At 35.9% G+C, this 21,585-nt stretch overlaps 1 long non-coding RNA gene across 1 annotated transcript in view, besides 1 other annotated feature; it reads left to right on the forward strand.

Annotated features, from left to right (window-relative positions):
- LINC02267 (long intergenic non-protein coding RNA 2267) overlaps positions 1-21,585 on the forward strand; it is a 507,713-nt gene that overhangs the window by 410,507 nt on the left and 75,621 nt on the right. The window lies entirely within an intron of this gene.
- Positions 15,099-15,768: an enhancer, noted in NCBI's record as "OCT4-NANOG hESC enhancer chr4:97657459-97658128 (GRCh37/hg19 assembly coordinates)". NCBI's record gives its function as "activates a minimal SCP1, AML or CMV promoter by ChIP-STARR-seq in naive and primed H9 embryonic stem cells {active_cell/tissue: H9 hESC(naive and primed)}" and the evidence as "EXISTENCE:reporter gene assay evidence [ECO:0000049][PMID:30033119]".

Below are 21,585 nucleotides of genomic sequence, written 5' to 3' on the forward strand. Positions count from 1 at the left end.
GTTATTACCCACCCTCTGAAGCCTACTTCCGTCAGTTCAACCACCTCAGCCTCAGCCCAGTTCTGTGCCATTACTAGAGAGGTGCTGCAGTTATTTGGAGGAGAAGCACACTGACTTGTTGAGTTTTCAGCATTTTTGCATTGATTCTTTCTCATCTTTGCGGGCTTATTTACCTTTGATTTTTGAGGTTGCTGACCTTTGAATGGGGTTTTAGTGGGGTATTTTTTGTTGATGTTGTTGTTGTTGTTTTCCATTTGTTTGTTTTTCTTTTTATAGTCAGGCCACTCTTCCATACAGCTGATGCAGTTTGCTGGTGGTCAGGTCCAGACCCTAGTTGCCTTAGTTTTTCCTGTACCTGGAAGTATCACTGGTGAAGGCTGTGAAACAGCAAAGATGGCAGCTTGTTTCTTCTTCTGGAAGCTCTGTCTCAAGGAGGTACTGACCTATTGCCAGCCTGAATGAAGGTGTAGAGGCGGCTGGAGACCCCTGTGGGGAGGTCTCACTTAGTCAGGAGGAACAAGATCAGGGACTCACTTAAAGAAACAGTCTGGCTGCTTTGTGGTAGAGCAGCTGTGCTGTGTTGTGGGGGGAACCCTTCCTCATCCAGACCATTTGGACTTTCCAAAGCCAGCAAGCTGAAATGGCTGAGTCAATGGAACTGCAGAGATGGTGGCTTCCCCTCCTCCTGGGAACTTGGTCCTGTCTCAGGCAGATTCCAGCCTGTTGCCTTGGCTAGCTAATTCCAAGCCAATGGGTCTTAACTTGTGAGGTGCTGTGGAAGTGTGACTTGCAGAACAGCACTGCTTAGCTCCCTGGATTCAGCCCCCCTTCCTAGGGATATGTACAAATGGATCTCCTGCCTTGCCGGGTATCCTGGGGCAGAGTATGTAAAACTCCTAGGTCTCTGTGAGTGCCTGAACAACTGCTCCATCAAGACTCCACACAGCTCTGTGTATCAGACCCAAGGCCCTGCGGGCATGGGCCCATGAGAGTATTTTCTGATCCAAGGGTTGCAAAGATCTGTGGGAGAAGGTGGTTTCCCAGGCAGGCTCGCACAGTCACTCACTGCTTCCCTTGGCCAGGGGTGGGGTTCCTTTGGCTCCATGCTACTCTTGGATGGGCTCTTACCCCACTTTGCTCTTCTTCATTCTCAATGGGTTGTTTGTCTAGTCAGTCCCAGTGTGAGAACCTGGATATTTCAGTGGAAGGTGCTGAATACACTCTCCCTTTTCATTTCTCTTTGTGAGTGCCATGGACTGCAGCTGCTTCTAATCAGCTATCCCGTCCCCGTGAAATCTTCTTTTTAAAATTGGAAGAATACATTGCAAGAAAAGAAGACAAAATACTGGGGTGCAATTGAAATTAAGAACTAACTATTTCAGGTCAAAAAGGTGATAAAAATTTTATTATGTGCTATAATCTCTTGTCTAATAAGAATTAATTCAGAACGTTATCATTGTCCATACCTGTAGAGTTATGAGGCAGATATCACGTTTCAGAAAAATAGTCATATGTTTTAAATCAAGCAAGTATAAAAATCACAGGTATGTGCACACACATAAACCAACATTCCTACATCAACATACTCTAATCTGCCCCAACTTAAAGAACTAAATTGTTATTAAACTTTATCTGCTACCTGCTAGTTTATGAAGTTCCCAGTAGTATACAGACAGCCCACTACTTAACCATGATTCAACTTGTGATTTTTCAACTTTATGATAGATTTTTCAGGGTATTAAATGTATTTTGGATTTGTGCTATATCCAATTTCTAAAGGGGTAATCTGGATGTAACCTCATTTTAAGTCAAGTACATCCAATATTTTGGCTTTCCTGAGCCACACTGGAAGAATTGTTTAGGGCAACACATAAAATACACTAGCACTCACAAAGGCTGATGAGCTAAAAAAAAAAAAAAATTACAGAAAACCCTCATAATGTTCTAAGAAAGTTTATGAATTTGTGTTGCACAGCATTCAAAGCTGTCCTGGGCCACATGCGGCCTGCAGACCACAGGTTGGACAAGCTTATTGTAAGTCTAGGAGCATCTGTACATAAGTAGTGTGTATTAAATATCTATTGCTGCTTAACAAATTATCTGAAAATTTGGCAGCTTACTAAAACACACATTTATTATCTTACAGTTCCTGTGTTTTCACTTAGGTTGGATATTCCTGCTCATAGTCTCTTACAATTAAGCAATCAAGGATTCCACTGGGGTTTCAGGTATCTTAAGGTTCATTTGAGGAAGGATTTTCTTCCAAGCTCAGTCACGTGGTTGTTGGCAGGATCCAGCTCTTCACAGGTTTTTGAACTGAGGATGTCAATTCCTTGCCAGTCGTGAGCTGAGGGTCTCCATCAGTTCTTTTCCATTTGAGTCTGTCCATAGAGTGGTTCACACTGGAAGCTGATTTCCATCTGAGCAGGCAAGTGAGAAGGCAAACAAGACAGAAGTCAGTCGTTTTGTAACTTAATCCTTGAAGTGACAGCCTATTCCTTTCCCTATTCTGTTTTTTAGAACTGAATCACCATTCCACTCATGAGTAGAAGAGATTTCAAAAGGTGTGAATATCAAGAGGTAAAGTCTTGAGCTGCCTTCTTTAAGGGTGCCTTCCACTCAGTGAATGACATGTAGTCAGCACTTGATTAATATTTGTCAAATAACTGAATGAAGTATTATATTATTAAAATATCTGTGAATAAACAAATGATATAATTCAAATCATAGTTGATACAGTTTGGCTGTGTCCCCACCCAAATCTCATCTTCAATTTTAACTCCCACAATTCCCACATGTCCTGGGAGGAACCCAGTGGAAGGTAATTGAATTATGGGGATGGGTCTTTCCTGCACTGTTCTCCTGATTGTGAATGAGTCTTATGAGATCTGATGGTTTTAAAAAGTGGTAGTTTGTCTGCACAAGCTGTCTCTTTACCTGCCGCCATCCATGTAAGATGTGACTTTCTCCTCCTTGCCTTGCGCCATCATTGGAGAATTCCCCAGACACATGAAACTGTGAGTTCTCCAGTAAATCTCTTTCCTTTGTAACTTGCCAGTCTTTATTAGCAGCATAAAAACAGACTAATACAATACTGAAATGAAATGTATTTCCATACTGAGGAATAACTTTACATCTAAAGCCAGCTGAATTAGTTTTAAGTAGCAAAATCTTTGCTTTAGTTAGTAAATCCAGGGAAGAATTTAATATAACGTATTTAATTATTACTATTTATAACCTGGCTTAGTTTGTAACTTGTCAAAAACAGACTAAGCTATTTACAAAGAAATCTGCTTTTAATAGGTAATCACAATCATAAATATCCTAGGTTAATATTAATATCACATTTTCATATTAAAGATATTGATAGTGGTCACTTCAATACAGTACTTCCTGAGCAAGCAGTTTGCTGATACCAACAGATTTTGAAATCAGTGGAAATGCATATCCTCATTATTAAAATTGTGCATGTACATATGCTTGTATGTTGTATATGGGTACATATTTATGCTAACTTTCAAATATAAATATTCTAAAGCATATGTGTATCTCCAAAAGACAATATTTATAGAACATAATGAATTTATTACTATTTCCTATGTAAATTGAAATACTTTAGTTTCTCTCACATTTTTTAAATGCTGCTACCAGTTCTACTACACACTTTTCTTTGACAACAAGACTTGAAAATTAAGAAAGTGTACAAAATCAATTGTCCTTGAAAAAGGGCCACTATTAGAATAAGCTTTGCCTGTCTTTGGAAACTAAAGGCCAAGAGATTAAAATTACCTTTGGAACCCATCAGAAAATTAATATATGTCTACATTCACTATAAAGCATTTAATATGACTAACTTTGAAGGAAAGAACTGTAACTATCAAATGAGGAAGGAGATACATTTTTAAATGTCCTTTTTGGGCAGTAACCAATACAATGCATCAAATTTTTACATGTTTTCATTTCACATGTTTTCACTGAAATGGAAGAGTGGCGAAACTCAAAAAGTAATGTTACCTGCCATTCATATTTCTAAGAACCCTCATGTTTATGTTTCTAATTTCCATATGAATAATTTAATGCTATTTTCCTCTTAGTTGCCTTTAAAATATTAGCATATACCCCTAGATCTTCTGATTCCTGATTTGCATCTGTAAAATTTTGTTGATAAAACAAAATATAAATTTAATATGTGAATTGAGCAAATAATAGTAGTTAATGTTAATACCATAAAGAAATCTAATTTAAAAATGCAAAATTATATTTTATAGCTCTTTATATTTAGAATATCCTTTTATTTACACATAGCAGTGATCTAATGTTTATATTATCACCACATACAGTGGACTGAATAGCATCCCGCAAAAAGGTATGTCCAAATCCTAACCCCTGGTACCTGTGAATGTAACCCTACTTAGAAACCTGATATTTGAAGATATAGTTAAGATCTTGAGATGAGATATTCCTGAATTTGGGGTGCGCCTTAAATCTGATGACTGTTATCCTCATGAAAGAAAGAAGAGGGCTTCTTAGTACACATGGAGACAAGAGACAGCAAGGCTCTTGTGAAGATGGAAACAGTGTTGGAGTGATACATCTGAAGGCCAAGGGAGCCAGGGATTGTCTGCAGACATCAGAAACTAGGAGAGGGGCCTCCAAAAGGAACCAACCTGCATATATCTTGATTTTAGATTTCTAGTCCCTAGACCTGTGGAAGAATACATTTTGATTGTTTTAAGCCAACAAGCTTGTAATACTTTCTTATGGCACCCTTAGGAAATCAATATGGGCCCATTAGCCAATACTAAAACAGATTCTTATTTTCCCCAAGTGAAAAATAATTAACTGACTTGAAATGGCTGTCATTGGCTTAGAAACAAGAGCAAAATCTCTTTTTTTTTTTTTTTTTTTTTTGAGACGGAGTTTCGCTCTGTCGCCCAGGCTGGAGTGCAGTGGCGCGATCTCGACTCACTGCAAGCTCCGCCTCCCGGGTTCACGCCATTCTCCTGCCTCAGCCTCCCGTGTAGCTGGGACTACAGGCGCGCGCCACCATGCCCGGCTAATTTTTGTATTTTTAGTAGAGACGGGGTTTCACCGCGTTAGCCAGGATGGTCTCGATCTCCTGACCTCGTGATCTGCCCGTCTCGGCCTCCCAAAGTGCTGGGATTACAGGCAAAATCTCTTTTAAAATATGCTGAATTTCCATTTGTCTTGATAAATGATAGTGTACTATAGTGTTTGGACAAAGCAGTAATCATTAACTTTGAGTTGAAAGGTAAATTAAAGGAGTCACATGCTGGAAGTGTATAAATATTAGGACCAGCATAACTAATAATTTATTTACGCTTTCTATTTTTAATAGTCAAAGAATGACAAAAATCTAGTTAAGCTAAATCTAAAAGAGTTCTAATTGAGTAATAAAGGTAAAAGTTTAATTATTAGTTTTTTTCTCAAGATAGAACATAAAGCAATGGCATACCTTGTCAATAAATCTTAGATTCAGTGATATATTTGTGACTGTCATATAGGCTACATTATTTGAAGGGCTGGTTGAAGAACAGTTTCTGCAAAATATCTTTCCAAAGAATCATAAAGATAGACCTGCAAATGCTACATTGTCACTTGGCACAGTGGCCCAAAATGTCTGCTTTTCAGTAGAGAGGTTTATTCTGAAGTAGATGCAAATGTTATATTCAGGAAAGTCTGTGCTATGGAGAGGTAAAATATACATTTTCATTTAAAATGCATATTTTCTTCTATTTTTATGATGTATTATTTTGTTTTCTGTTTGTTCTCTTTTCATTTGAAGTTTAAAATCCATCAAGGTAAAACTTGTGTATCTGGCACAGGGTATTACAGGCATTTACGTGTCAACTTGATTGGGCCATATAGTGCCTAAATACTAATTCAACATTATTCTGAGTTTGTCTGTGAGGGTGTTTCTGAATGAGATTAACATTTGAATAGGTACACTGATAAAATAGATTACCCTCCTCAATGTGTATGGGCCTCCCACAATTAATTCAAGACATGAATAGAACAAAAAGGTTAAGTAACAGAGAATTTTACCTTCTTGATAGCTTGAACTGGGACTACATTGGTTTTTTTCCAGCCCTTGGCTGGAACTATACCACCTGTTCTCCTCAGTCTTCAGCTTGATGACTGCAGATCTTGTGACTTCTCAGCCTCCAAAATTTGCATAAGCCAATTTCTTCTAATAAATCAAACTCCTCTCTCTCTTCCTCTCTATCTCATAATAACAGCTTACCATTACTGTTCATTCACTGGAAGTAGATGTTTATAAATGTTTTCATCCTTGTTATCTTCACATTAAGTAGAGTAAGAAGGAAGAGTAAGAGGAGGGGTTGGTCTTAGTGTCTCAGGGATGGTAGAGACAGAAGAGGTGGAGGAGGTGCAAAGGGAGGCAGGAGAGGCAGGCACACGTACTTTTATTAAAAAATATCCACATATCAGTGGGCCCATGCAGTTCAAATCCATGTTATTCAAGGGTCAAGTACACAAATACATATACCTATACATATACACATATATAATATACACATATCTATCTCTATATCCATGTCTGTGTCTATGTCTATCTCTATATAAATACATGCATGTATGTTTATGTACCTGCATATGTGTTTGTATGCAAGCATTTACTATACAGACTTCCCTCTTTTGCTGGTTTTGAAGAAATAAGCTTCCATGTTGTGTGAAGACCTATGCAGAGGACCATGTCAAGGAAATGCAGGCAACTTCTAGGAGCTAAAAATAGTTCCTGCTTAAGAAAATGGAGACCTCAATTCTGCTTCTGTAAAGGGATAAATGCTGCCAACAATCAGATAGTTTGGAAATTTATCTTTCTTAAGTCTCTGATGAGAATGCAATCCTAGCCAACACCTGGATTGCAGCCTAACCTTGACACATGGAAACTGAGATAATAAACATGTATTGTTTTAAGCTGCTAAATTTGAGGTAATTTGTCATGTTGCAATAAAAAACTAATACAGTAATCAACTTTTCCACAATATTAATGAATAATCCATTATTTGTTCTTGTTCTATATTGCTGGCTTTTAGTAGGAATTAAACGATTTTATACACAAGTATATTTTTTACCTACCTGTTTCCATTTTGATCTGTTAATGTATTCTAGTAGTGGCTTATTCAGAACCCAGCACCTTTCTCACTCTAGAACTGGAAAGTATTTCCTGGGTGATTAGATTTTTGTTAGCTTTGAATTAGAATTCAGATTTATTCCTATTAATTACTATTTAGTGACTCAGAAAAGAAACTGGCTAGCATTTACAAGCATTGTATCACTGAAGAATTTGTTTTGCAATTGAATTACAATCAAATTTTGAGTGGCAAAGTTTTTATGTTAGTAGTTGCCTGTAATCTAAGAAGTGATTGTTGCCATGAGAAAACCACCATATCGTTAAATGTTTCAGCAGGGTAGATAAGACATATACTTGCTTAAGGGTTATTCCAAATGACTAAGGAGATCCCTTTGTTGTCTAATATTCCATATTTATAAAAATAAGAATGACAATTGTTTTTTATCTCTTTTTAACGCTCTTTGTGCAATTTTACTTCTTGACATTTATCCTATGGAAGTAATCCACATGTATACACAGGTATAGCTACAAAGACATTCAATTGCTGCATTGTCTATATTAGGGAAATTTTGAAAATTACCTGAAAGCCAAATAATATGAGGCAGCTAAAGAATGAAAAAGAACCAAAAAGGTTGTTGTGGATCCACACTTCCTAACGTGGGCAGAGGCTTATGACTGCTATTGAGAGGAAAAAGGCAGGTTACAAAGCTAGATGTGTATGATAAGCCCACTTTTCTGAAAATCAAACATATATAAATAGACCAATAATTTAAATAATAGGACTTACACTAACATATTAGCAGTTAGTCACTCTACATGCCAAATCTTGGGATGATTTTTAGTTCTGTATTTTTGTTGTTACATATATTTATATATATATTCTTTATATATATATATATTCTTTTCTCTTCCAGTTATTATGTGTTTAATAATACAATCATTGACAGGGCTGGAGATGGTTTTCTGCAACTCTCTGCTACAATCATGGTGCTTGAGAGGAGCTCATGAGGAAATATAACTTGGATCTTTCTTAGTATCTACTAGAGAGTCCTCCTATGAGCAGTCCAGAATCCGCTTGCAGAACCACTTTCCAAATCACAAATCCAGGGATTTCCCTACCCCATGGAGGACTCGGGCCCCAGACATACCTCTCTATTATGGCCCTGACCAGAATAACACAAGAACCTTGGGTGGGTGGGACATTTTCCTATTTGGAGCTAAAAGCTCTTTCCTGAGCAGCTATGTGCCTCTGCCAGCAGAAGAGAGTGAGTGAAGACCCTCACTCATCCTCAGTTCTGAACTTAGTCAAAGCCCAGGGAGATATAGCCATTGGCCAAAGGTCAGCAGTGGCAACAATCATTTTTGTTTTTAATTCATTAATCTAATATCCTAGTTATCAGAAAATCTGGCACAGGTCTCTATTTTATCCTGTTGATTTGGCAGACTTAACATATTCTCCACAGAGAGGCTTTATTTCCCCACTTGGCTCAGTTTTCTTTTCCTGCTGGCAGTTGTCCCACCCTTAGGGCTTTGCAATCTCTGGAGAAGTGCTCCTGCTGATGCCCTCCTCCTCCTTGGATCTGTAAGCCAAACTGAATCACAGTGAAACACATTCCCCAGTCCTCACTGATGAACAATGTGGTAGAAGATGCATTTTGTATGTTCTGAATGCCACCCATAATATTTACCTGAGTCTATAAAAAGCATAAAGTGTTTGTATATGTTATAAATTTCTCTTTTTACATTTTGATTCCTTAAGCCATCGAAGACATTTCAAGTTCAAATTTTAAGAAAACTAGGGCACTGTAAAGGAGTAGTAGGCAAGAGCATAATTCCTAATATCAGACAGATATAACTTGCTGGCTTTAATGCTTGCTCTGGTACTTACTGGCCATATGACTTTGGAAATATAATTCAGCTTCATGAAGGCTGAACTCTCACATCTCTAAGAAGGACATCACTCTTGTCCTTCCTCATGTGGCAGATAAGATGAATTAGCCAGATGATATATTTCTAGCACTTGTCAAAGCACTTGATATATAATTTTTGCTCAATAAATGGTATTCATTATTATCAATATAACTATTAATAAGAAGAAGGTATTTTCAATATCAGGGGTTCTCAATCAGAGGTGATTTTGCTCCCACCCTACCCCCCGACCAGAAGACGTTTGACAAGGTATGGAAAAATATTTTGTCACAACCAGGGAGATGGGTGAGGAGTTTCTATTGACATCTAGTGGGTAGAAGATAGAAAGGATGGAAAATATCTTACAATACCCAGGACAATCCTCCGCAACAGAGTCATCCATCCCCAAATGTCAATAGTGCTAAGGTTGAGAAATCCTGCCATAATTCTCTATGCTTAACAACCTCCCTTCTCCAGCATTGATAGCATTTTCATTTGAAACAGCACACTGTCACAAAGATTTTAATTGTTCTTTTTTGTGTGTGTACTTTAAAGGCATGTCTATATATCTGCAGGCTAATTGACTTGCAGTGCAATAAATGATTCTATTGTATAAAATATTAGGTATAGAAAAGAAGCCTGAATGAAAAGCTTCTTATGAAATGATGGCAGACTCCTTTCTCACAAAATGCATTATTCACTAAAAACCAAATCATGTTGTTTTGGCCTTTCTTGAGACATACATATTTATTGGCCTTTCTTGAGACATATTTATTTGACCTTTATTGAGACACGTTTATAAAAAACTAGATCAAGCATCAGCTGTTATTAGTAAGTTATATAGGGATCTATACAAGTATACCTAGTGATATTAAAACCCAGAACAGTGTTATGTTTAAGCAAAATAAGTTGCATTAGCTTATTATTGCATTTAGAGTTAATTTTTTCCAACATGACAATCTGAATATTTGCAAAGGTTAGCAGTTATGTTTAATCAGTAAAATTAATCAGTATTAGTGCATACTTTATAGTGATCAATCACATTCAATTTTAGGAACAGAGTTGATCACATTAGAATGTATTAGTGATTATTCAGACACTGAAAAAAATAGGCCGTTAGCTTTCATTTTATGTCACTAATATTATATATTACTAATACTTATTTGAATACTTTGAATATTTTTCAGGTAAAATTAATGTCAATTGACAAAAATGGTTATACTTAAACATAGTAAATTGAACAAATGTCCTACACTAATATACATATTGATTTGGAATTTTTAGTCTTTTTCATCTAGATAACCTCAAAGGGCATATAAGTCTATATCCATATCTATCTATCCATCTATCTATCTATCTATCTATCTACACCAATAGATTTACTCAAATTCCAGTTTCTCAGTGAAGTATTTCCTGAAAACTCTCTATAAAATAGTAGCCCCTTACACTCTCCCAACCCCACATTTTCATTATTTTCCTTCCTTGTTCTGTTTTACTCCACATTATGTATAACAAAATGTAATATAGTATAACTAGTGTACTACATGTTTTATTTCTTTATTTTCACAGTTATCTCCACTGCCACACACACTAGCGTATAAAAGAATATGTAAGTTTTTGGGTCTAGTGCACTAGGTTTTAATGACAGGTTACTAACTGTTACTAACTGAGGGACCTGGAGCAAGTTAGGTAACCCCTCTGTTCCTCAGGATCCATGTGAATAATAACACTACCTACCTCGTAGAGCTGTTATAAAGTTTAAATTAGTTAATATATACAAAAGTGCTTAGCACATAGTAAGTACTATGGAAATGTTACCTTTAATAATCAATCTCACAAAGGTAGAAATTTGTTTTTCAATGGTATATCCCATGAACCTATAACACACATGGCACCTGGTATGCAGTAAATGGCTTGCTTAAAGAATGATACTCATTCTTCATTTACCAAAGGTTTCTGATTAGGTTTTCTGATTTTCCTTTATCACAAACATCTTACTATGGTCTTTTTGAAACCAAAAGTTATGGTTTGACCCTGGGTCCCCATCCAAATCTCATGTCAAATTTTAATCCCCATGTGTCAGGGGAGGGGTCTGGTGGGAGGTGATTGGATAATGAGGACAGATTTCCCCCTTGCTGTTCTTGTGATAGTGAGTGAGTTCTCACAAGATCATTTAGATGTTGCATGTCCCCATTTTTTCTCTCTCCTGCTCCACCATAGCAAAGACATGCTTGCTTCCCCTTCACTTCCACCATGATTGTAAGTTTCTGAGGCCTCACAGCCATGCTTACTGTACAGCTTGAAGTATTGTGAGTCAATTAAACATCTTTTCTTTCATAAATTATGCAGTCTCAGGTAGTTCTTTATAGAAGAGTCAGAACGGACTCACACAGAATGGGCCACTGCCATAAAGATAACATGAAAATGTAGAAGCAACTTTGGAACTGGGTAACAAGCAGAGGTTGGAACAGTTTGGAGGGTTCAAAAGAAGACAGGAAGATGTGGGAAAGTTTAGAACTTCCTAGAGAGTTGTTGAATGGTTTTGACTAAATGCTAATAGTGATTTGGACAATGAAGGCTGAGAAGGTCTCAGATGGAGATAAGGGACTTATTAGGAACTGGAGAAAAGGTCATTCTTGCTATGTTTTAGCAAAGAGACTGGTGGCATTGTTCCCCTGCTCTAGAGATCTGTGGAACTTTGAACTTGAGAGAGAGGATTTATGGTATCTGGTAGAAGAAACTTCTAAGCAGCAAAACATTCAAGATGTGACTTGGTTTTTCTTGAAAACGTACAGTATGTGCCCACAACAAGATGGTTGGAAACTGGAACTTATGTTTAAAGGGGAAGCAGAGTGTAAAGTATGGAAAATGTGAAGCCTGACCATGTGATAGGAAAAAAAAAAACAAAAAAAAAAACTATTTTCTGGGGAGGAACTCAAGCCAGCTGCAAAAATTTGCATAAGTAATGAGAAGCCGAATGTTAATAGCCAAGACAATAGGGAAAATGTCTCCAAGCCATGTCAGAGACCTTCACAGCAACTCCTCCCATCACAGGCCTGGAGGCCTAGGGGTGAAATATGGTTTTGTGGGCTGGGCCCAGGGCCCTGCTGCTCTGTGAAGCCTCGGGACTTGGTTCCTCGTGTCCCAGTCACTCCAGCTTTAACCGTGGCTAAAAGGGACCAACATACAGATTGGCCATTGCCTCAGAGGTGCAACCCCCAAGCCTTGGCAGCTTCCATATGGTGTTGGGTCTGCAGATACACAGAAGGCAAGAGTTTGAGAGCCTCCATCTAGATGTGAGAGGATGTATGGAAATGCCTGGATGTCCAGGCAGAGGTCTGCTGAAGGGGCAGAGCCCTCATGAAAAACCTCTACTAAGGCAGTGAGGAGGGGAAAAGTGGTGTTGAAATCCCTACACAGTCCCCACTGGGGCATTGCCTAGTGGAGCAGTGAGAAGTCAACCACTGTCCTCCAGAGCCCAGAATGGTAGATCCACTGACCAGCTTGTACTGTGCACCTGGGGAAGCTGCAGGCACTCAACACTAGCCTGTGAAAGCAGCCATGAGGGTTGTACCCTGCAAAGCCACAGAGGCTCAGCTGCCCACGGCCATGGGAGCCCACCTCTTGCATTAGCATGCTTTGGATATGAGACATGGAGTCAGAGGAGATTATTTGGGAACTTCAAGATTTAATGACTATCCTGCTGTGTTTCAGACTGGCATGGGGCCTATATCCCTTTGTTTTCACCAGTTTCTCCCTTTGGAATGGGATAATTTACCCAATGCCTGTACCCCCATTGTATCTTGGAAGTAACAAACTTGCTTTTGAATTTTACAGGCTCATAGATGGAAGTGACTTATCTTGTCTCAGATAAGACTTTGGACTTGGACTTTTGAGTTAATGCTGGAATGAGTTAAGACTTTGGGAGACTGTTGGAAAGATATGATTGGTTTTGAAATGTGAGAAGGACATGAGATTTGGGAGGGACCAGGGGTGGAATGATATGATTTGGCTCTGTGTCCCCATCCAAATCTCATAACTAATTGTAATCTCCTAAGGGTCAGGGAGGGGCCTGGTGGGAGGTAATTGGGGGAGGGGGGCAGATTATCAGGCTGTACTCATGATAGTGAGTCAGTTCTCATGAGATCTAATTGTTTAAAAGTGTGTGGCACATCCCCCTTCTCTCTCTCTCTCTTCGGCTCCACCAAGGTAAAGACATGCTTGCTTCCCTTTCACCTTCCACCATAATTGTAAGTTTCCTGAGGTCTCCCAGTCATGCCTCTTGTATAACCTGCAGAACTGTGAGTCAATTAAACCTGTTTTCTTCATAAATTACCCAGTTTCAGATAATTCTTTATAGCAGTGTGAAAGTGAACTAATACACATCATGTCCTACAACTCTTCTCCTCCATAATGGAGGGAAAAGAGGGTAAAGGCACAAATATAGGCAATCAAATTGGAGAAAAATATTTTTAAGATTATATTTTATTTTTCCTATTATACTTTTTTTCCTGATCACCTTTGTCATTTTCATCAAAACATGCTTGAAAAGGCAGAGCCTGTAAGAGATTAAGTAAACAAAAAATGCTATAATTGTAAAAGCATGACAGTCTTTTGTGAAGGAAATTACAGCATGTAGGATAAAAATAGCTTTCCACTTAGATAATATATACAGTGATAAAAATGGACCTTAAGTACATATATTAGTCTGTTATCATGCCATTAATAAAGGCATACTTGAGAGTGGGTACTTGATAAAGGAAAGAGGTTTAATTGACTCATAGTTCCACATGGCTGGGGAGGCCTCACAATCATGGCAGAATGCAAGGAGAACCAAAGTCCTATCTTATGTGGTGGCAGGCAAGAGAGCATGTGTAGAGGAACTCCTCTTTATAAAACCATCAGATCTTGTGAGACTTATCATGAGAACAGCATGGGAAACACCCACCCCCATGTTTCAATTACCTCACAGTGGATTCCTCCTAGGACTAATGGGAATTATGGGAGCTACAATTCAAGATGAGATTCTGGTGGGGACAGAGCTAAACCATATCAGTACACATGCAACTAGTAGAAAATAAAAGCATTCTTCTTTGTAACTAACAAACCATCCTTGGAGCTAAACCATATCAGTACATATGTAACTAAAAGAAAATGAAAGCATTCTACTTTGTAACTAACAAACCATGCTTGGGGATTTGTGCTTGATTTATTATTGATTCTCACAGAGGACATAGTAAGTAAAACTCATAAAAAAATCAAATTTTTTTCATTTATTTATTTATTCATTGTTGAGACAGGGTCTCACTCTATCACCCATGCTGGAGTGCAGTGCCATGATCTTGGCTCACTGCAAACTCCACCCCCCAGGTTCAAATGATTCTTGTGCCTAACCTCCCAAGTAGCTGGGACTACAGGTGTGCATCACCATGCCCAGCTAATTTTTGTATTTTTCATGGAGATAGGTTTTTGTCATTTTAGCCAGGCTGGTCTTGAACTCCTGACCTCAAGCAATCCTCCTGCCCCAGCTTCCCAAAGTGCTGGGATTACAGGTGTGAGCCACCATGTTCAGCCTAATTTTTTTTTCATTTATACTTGAGAATGACTTTTTATTTAAATGAGTTAAATTGCACACATTGCAACTAAAACAAATATAAGCATAAAGATTTTAGATAGTACCTTTTTCTTTTATGCATCAAATCTGCAGCTAATGACATGTTAAGATGTGAGCCTAATACCTCAATAAATTCTCACAACAATTGTATGAGGTAGGATTTATAATATTTTGTATTTTAAGAAATTGAAAGATGAAAAGGTTAAGTAACTTGTTCTTTGAAACACAACTGCAATTCAAATACAGGTCCATGAAATTGTAAAACCCGTGTTCTCCTATTATCTCAACTCTTCTCATTATTGTTAAGATAAAGACCACACAAATTTTACCACTAATACATGTCTTTAATTTAGATTTTAAGATTTGTTTTTGTACCAATTTTACATAACAAATTTCTGTTACGGGCCATGAAGGAGGAACAGAGACAGAACCTCCCACCGTAAATATTCAGAAACTGCACAAAACACATGAAACTATTTCCAGACAACAGACAACAAATAGTGTAGGTTTGATCCTTGAAAAATGGTGCATAAATCATGTGAGAAAAAAATCCCCCCACTTCATAGCCTGGAGACAATTTCCAGATTATCAATGTAAAAGGATAAATCTAAACACCCTAGGCAAGACTGAACTGAGGAAATGAGAATTCAATTTTTGGAAGTTTGAGTCAGCTAAAAGTATAAACTAGAGTTCTAGAGAAGAGGGAGCTGTTGAAAAAGTATTCTGGAAATGAATTTAGGGATTCTTGGTTCTTTGCTGAGTACTAGGCTGCACATGAAAGGAGTAAAATTCTAAAGGGAAGGGCAAAGAAAGACAAGGAATTTGTACGCATAGCAACTCTAAAGGCTCACAAAGGACAAGCAGATGTTTAAGCTCTGAGTCACCACAGAGGCACTCTTCAGTAATTACCCATAGCATTCAGTCTAGATGTAAAAGAAGCCATGTCTTAGCAAGGTATCTGGGCTTTCTTTAGAATGAATGCTGTTCTACACACGCCTTGGCAAAGCTCAAAAGCAAACAAAGCAAATAATTTAAAAATTAATTTTAGACCAAAAATATTTTAAAAACAAAATTATTTAAAGAAAAACAACAAAATTACAATGCTCAACATCTAATCTAAATTACTAAACAAGCCAAACAGCCATAAATTATGACCCAAAATCTAGATTAAACTTACTTAACAAAAACAGACCTGGGAATTATAAACATAACTTAAATAGAAGACAAAAATTGATAAAGAGCTATTGTAATTCTATACAAATATTTAAAACAAAATAGAAACATAATAGGATGGAAATGGTATATATATAAAAAAGACCCAAATAAAAACTCTAGAAATTATAGACTGTATAAAATAGTCTTATTGGATGTCTATCCAATTTTATTGTCATCCAGTTTTATTGGATGAGACTAATAGTGGGGTAGATATACAAAAAAAATCAATGAAGTTTAAAGCATAGCATACAATTTTTACAGTGAAGAAAAGAGAAACAGATTGAAAAAAATTAAAACTCAACACTTTTAGAATACTTTAAAACAGTGTAAAAATGCATAACATTAAAATCCTAGAATAAAGAGTAATATCAAAAATTGTTAAAAAATGATGCCTCAAGAATATCCAAATTGATGACAATTATATTATAAGAATCCAAAAATCTCAATAAACTACAAAGAGGAAGCACACACACACACATATCAAGACATAACTACATTTCTGAAAATCAACATGACACATATAAAGAAAAATGAAGATAAGAGCATCTAGAACTCAGAATAAATAATGAAAGTTCAAAGATATTGGAAAACATTTTAAAATAATGAAACAAGAAAATCTGTCAATCCATAATTCTAAACTCAGCAAAAATATTGTTTCAAAATAAAAGTAGAATTTAAAATTTTCCAGAAGAAAAAAGAATTCATCATCAGTTGACCAAAACTAAAAAAAAAATTAAGAAAAATTTCTTCAGTCAGAAAAAATATACCACACAAAATCTTGGATCCTCTCAAAATAATAAAATATACCAGAAATTATGAATATGCAGGTATAAATATAAAATAGCATTTCTAATTTTTATTTAAAAGATAATTAAATTTTTTAATCAAAAGTAAAAGCAATGCACTATCAGGTTCATGGCATGTGTAAAAATATATTATGTGGAAACAATGGTATAAAGGATTACAACAAATGAAAGACTTATTTTTTAAGTGTGACTTATATATAAGGGGTATATTTTTTCAAGGTAGACTATCATAAATAAAGATATACGTTTTAGATGTTAAAACAACCATGTAAAACCAAAAGAATTTAATTACCAATAATGGAGAAATTAAAAAAAACTCAAGGTGAAAAAAACTCAATTGGAAAAAGGGATTAAGAACTAAACAGGTACAACATATATAAACAAATAACAAGATGATTGTTATAAACTTTATTATATTGATATTTACATTAAAGGTAAATCATCTAGACAGGCCAATAAAAAGGCAGAGATTATAAGATTAGATATAGAGAGCACACTTTAAATATACATAGACTGATAAGTATATTAGTCTGTTTTCATGCTGCTGATAAAGTCATCCCCAAGACTGGACAATTTACAAAAGGAAGAGGTTTATTAAAGTTACAATTCCACATAGCTAGGGAGGCCTCACAATCATGGCAGAAGGCAAGGAGGAGCAAGTCACATCTTAAGTGAATGGCGGTAGGCAAACAGAGCTTGTGCAGGACAACTCCTGTTTTTAAAACCATTGGATCTCATGAGATCCATTCACTATTATGAGAATAGCACAGGAAAGACCTGCTGTCATAATTCAATCATCTCCCACTGGATCCCTCCCACAACACATGGGAGCTACAACATGAGATTTGGGTGGTGACACAGAGCCAAATCATATCAATAAGTTAGATAATGAAAAAATATAAACCCTAAAGACACTGAGCATAAAAAAGCTGGAAAGACTGTAGTAAAAATTAATAAAAATTACTATAAAATAAGCTATATTACTAGAGATAAACATAGCAATTTCATAATGACAAGGAAGCAAATTAATCAAGAAGGCAAAACACTACTTCACATTTATGCATTTAATAATGGCTGAAATATACATGAAGCAATAACTAATAGTAATGAAGAGGGAAATAGGCAAAATCAGAACCATGGTTGGAATTTTCTACACCCCCTCTGAATAAGTGATAAATATATAATCAGTAAGAACATAGGAAAAAATTAATAATATCAAGCAAATATACCTAATTTACATTTATAGAACATTTCAGCCTACAGTAGCAGAATACACACAATTTTAAAGTAAGGAATGTTTAACAAAATAGGCCAGATAATATGCCATAAAATAAATTTCATCAAATTTAAGTGAATTGAAATCAGAAATACAAAGTATGTTCTCTAACCACAGTATAAATAATCAGAAACCAACAACAGGAAGGTATCTGGAAAAGTCTCAAACACTTGAAAGCCAAAGAAAGCATTCCTAAATATCCCACAGGTCAATCAAGAGAGAAATTAGAAAGTATTTTGAATTAAATAAAATGAAAAAGCAGCATTTTAAAATTTTTGTGATGTAAATTAAACAGTGTGAAAAGAGAAAGTTACAGCTTTAAATGTTTAAATTAGAAGCACACCAACACAAATTTAAATCAATCATTTAAGCCAGGGGTTTGCAAAATTTTCTGTAAAGGGCCAGATGAGCAATAATTTAGCCTTACTAGTCTATAGTCATTACTACTCAGCTCTGCCATTGTAGTTTGAAAACAACCATAAACAATGCTTAAATAAATGAGTAGGGTTTTATTCTTAAAAAGTTATGAAGACTGTAATTTGAATTACATGTAATTTTTATTTACACAAAATATCATTTTATTTTTCAAATATTTAAAAATGTAAAAACCACTCAGCCTTCATGCACTACAAAAATAGTTGGTGGGATGAATTTTTCCTACAGGTGACAATTTGATGACTACTGATCTCTTAGGAAGTTTGACAAGCAAAGCAAATTAAATCCAAACTAAATGAAAGGAAGGGAATAACTATACAAACAACATTCAGTGACATTGATGATGCACAAAGAAGAAAGTAAAAGCAAAGAAACCATAAGATAATAATTTTAAAAATTAATAAAGATAATAGACCCCCAGATTCATTAATAAAGAAAAACAGTGTGAAGACACATTATTAATATTAAGAATAAAAGAAGAGAAACACTCTGGAGTCTACAGCTTAATAAGAAAATGTTATAAATGAATTAATGCCAATAAATTTGACAACTTAGATGAAATAAATATGTATCTCGGAACTCATAAATTATCTAAATTGGCTCACCTTTAACATTTTTAGCAAAGAGAATCCACAAATACATGAAAATATTAAATTTGAAATAAAATCCCTTAAAATAATTAAGAAAATAAGAAACACAAGATCATCTTGATAATGTGAAAATAACATTTGATAAAATTCAAGGGCAGCTCATTCATAATAAAAATTCTCAGCAAATTAGAAACAGAAAAGATAATTCGCTGAAATACCTCTGAAAATCTTAAAGTGATGATTATTACTGGTGAAAGATCGAATTCTTTCCCCTTAAGTTTGGGAGCAAGTCAAGATACCCATTAACGTCATTGCTATCAGGAAGTCACTAGAGGTCCTAGCCTGTGCATTAAGGATTAAATATATATATATGTTTTGAAAAGCAAGAAATAAAGCTGTCTTTACTGTCTTTGTATAAAACAACATGAGTACTGGGCATAAACAAAATTAAAATTAATTTAAAATTTAAATTTAAAGTAAAAAATTTAACACTAAATATATAGGGATACATATAACAACAAATGTACAAAAAACTAAAAACGTTGCTGAAAGAAATTAAAGAAGATCTCACAAAATTTAGCAGTATGTAATGTTGTTCATAGTTGGAAAGACTCAATATTATCAATTCTTTTGAAAATGATTTATGGATTTTATACAATCTCAACTGAAATTTCTATGAGTTTCTTAATAGAAATGGACAAGATTTTCATATAAATCCTTACATTTATATGGAAAAACAAATGGCCCAGAAATGTAGCCAAAACAACTACATTTTCAAAAACAAAGATGAGTTACTCTACATTATTATTTTAGTATAAAGCTACCATAACTAAAAAAATTTAAGAATAAGGATAGACATAACAATCAGTGGAACAGAATAGAGTAACTTCGTTCACAAATATATGGGCAATTGATCTATGACAGAGGTGCCAAACTAATTCAATATGTAAAGGACAGCCTGCTTTATGACTGGAAAAACCATTCATAAAATAGGGCAGCTTTGGAAGAGCCACTAAAATGTTTTTGGGCAGGAGGGAATTTTATGACAGTATGAATAAGTCTAACTATATGAAAGAAACTTATTAGATCTTACCTCAGGACTGTAGTAACTTTTAGGCCCAGGGACAAAAATTTGTTAGTGCCTATCAATGTTGGTGGATATCAACATTTATTACACTAAAATGCCTTTAAAACTTACTTTGTCATCAGCCTATGTCTTGAAATGAAAACTTGCTACAGAGGAAGATCTCTTTTGCACGTGACCTCTACTTAAATAATGACTTAAATGGAAGTTCTTTTTGAACAGAGTAATTCAGAGTACTAAAACATAAAGATGTCCTTTCTGAAGAAAAAAGTGAGCTTATCTTTAAAAACATACAATGTATTAATTGTATCTTTTTAATTTTTCCCCTTCTTCTTTGGAGTAGAACGTCTCTTTCTGAAAGTGAAATATTTTTAATAATTTATTAATGAGTACTTCTACTTTTGGCATTATTCTGATTTATATCTTTGAGATACTGCTAATATAGTTACTGGAACTTCTGCATTTTAAAATAAGGAACTTTCTAATTATCTAGAAAGCCACCTAACAGATATAATATATTTTGCACTTACAAATACTGTTACTTTCTTAAAGATGTCTCGTATAGAAGAACAAACTATAATTAATGCTTTCAGAAAAAGTAGCAAACATTTTGAAAATTTGAACCAGTTTATTCTTGAATGTGAATTGTTTAAATGCCTTCCCTTATAATTCACTTATAGGCACATTACAGTTTTTATTCCTTTTTTAAAAAAAATCCCATGTGCCAGCAACCTCCTATACTTTCATCAAATGGCTTCAAGATGGAAATGAAAGTTTCTATGTAAAAAACTTAAGAAAAATCATGTAAGCCATACTTCATATGGGACTAAGGGAGGCTTATCATTTGGAAAATTTTGGGGAGGAGGTGGGGAATTAAAGTAATTGGGATAAAAATAAATTACACCCTAAATTACAATTGTTATAACTAGAATTAAAAAGCTAATAATTGGTAAGTAGTGTAATTGTTTATTATAAATATTTTGATACCTCTAATATAAATTTAAATTTCTTTTAAAAGAAACTAAAATTACTAATTTAAAAATAAAAGTAGGTTCTCAGTTAAATTTGTCACTTTACAACAATTAGTTATGCAAACAGAAGAAAAGTAAATCTATATTTTCACTACTCAGACAATGATTATTTATGTTTGTGAGAGGTGACACTGTGCTGGCAGCCCTCGCTCACTCTTGTTGCCTCCTCGCCCTCGGTGCCCACACTGGCCGCGTTTGAGGAGCCCTTCAGCCTGCTGCTGCACTGTGGGAGCCCCTCTCTGGGCTGGCCGAGGCCAGAGCTGGCTCCCTCTGGCAGACCAGTGCGAGTTCCGGGTGGGCATGGGCTTGGCGGGCTCCACACTTGGAGCGGCCAGCTGGCATTGCTGGCCCTGGGCAGTGAGGGGCTTAGCACCCAGGCCAGCAGCTGTGGAGGGTGCACCAGGTCCCCCAGCAGTGCCAGCCCACTGGTGCTGCGCTCAAATTCTCTCCGGGTCTCAGCTGCCTCCCTGCGGGGCAGGGCTCGGGACCTGCAGCCTGCCTTGCCTGAG

This window comes from Homo sapiens, chromosome 4, assembly GCF_000001405.40.
Source record: "Homo sapiens chromosome 4, GRCh38.p14 Primary Assembly".
NCBI classification, from domain to species: domain Eukaryota; kingdom Metazoa; phylum Chordata; class Mammalia; order Primates; family Hominidae; genus Homo; species Homo sapiens.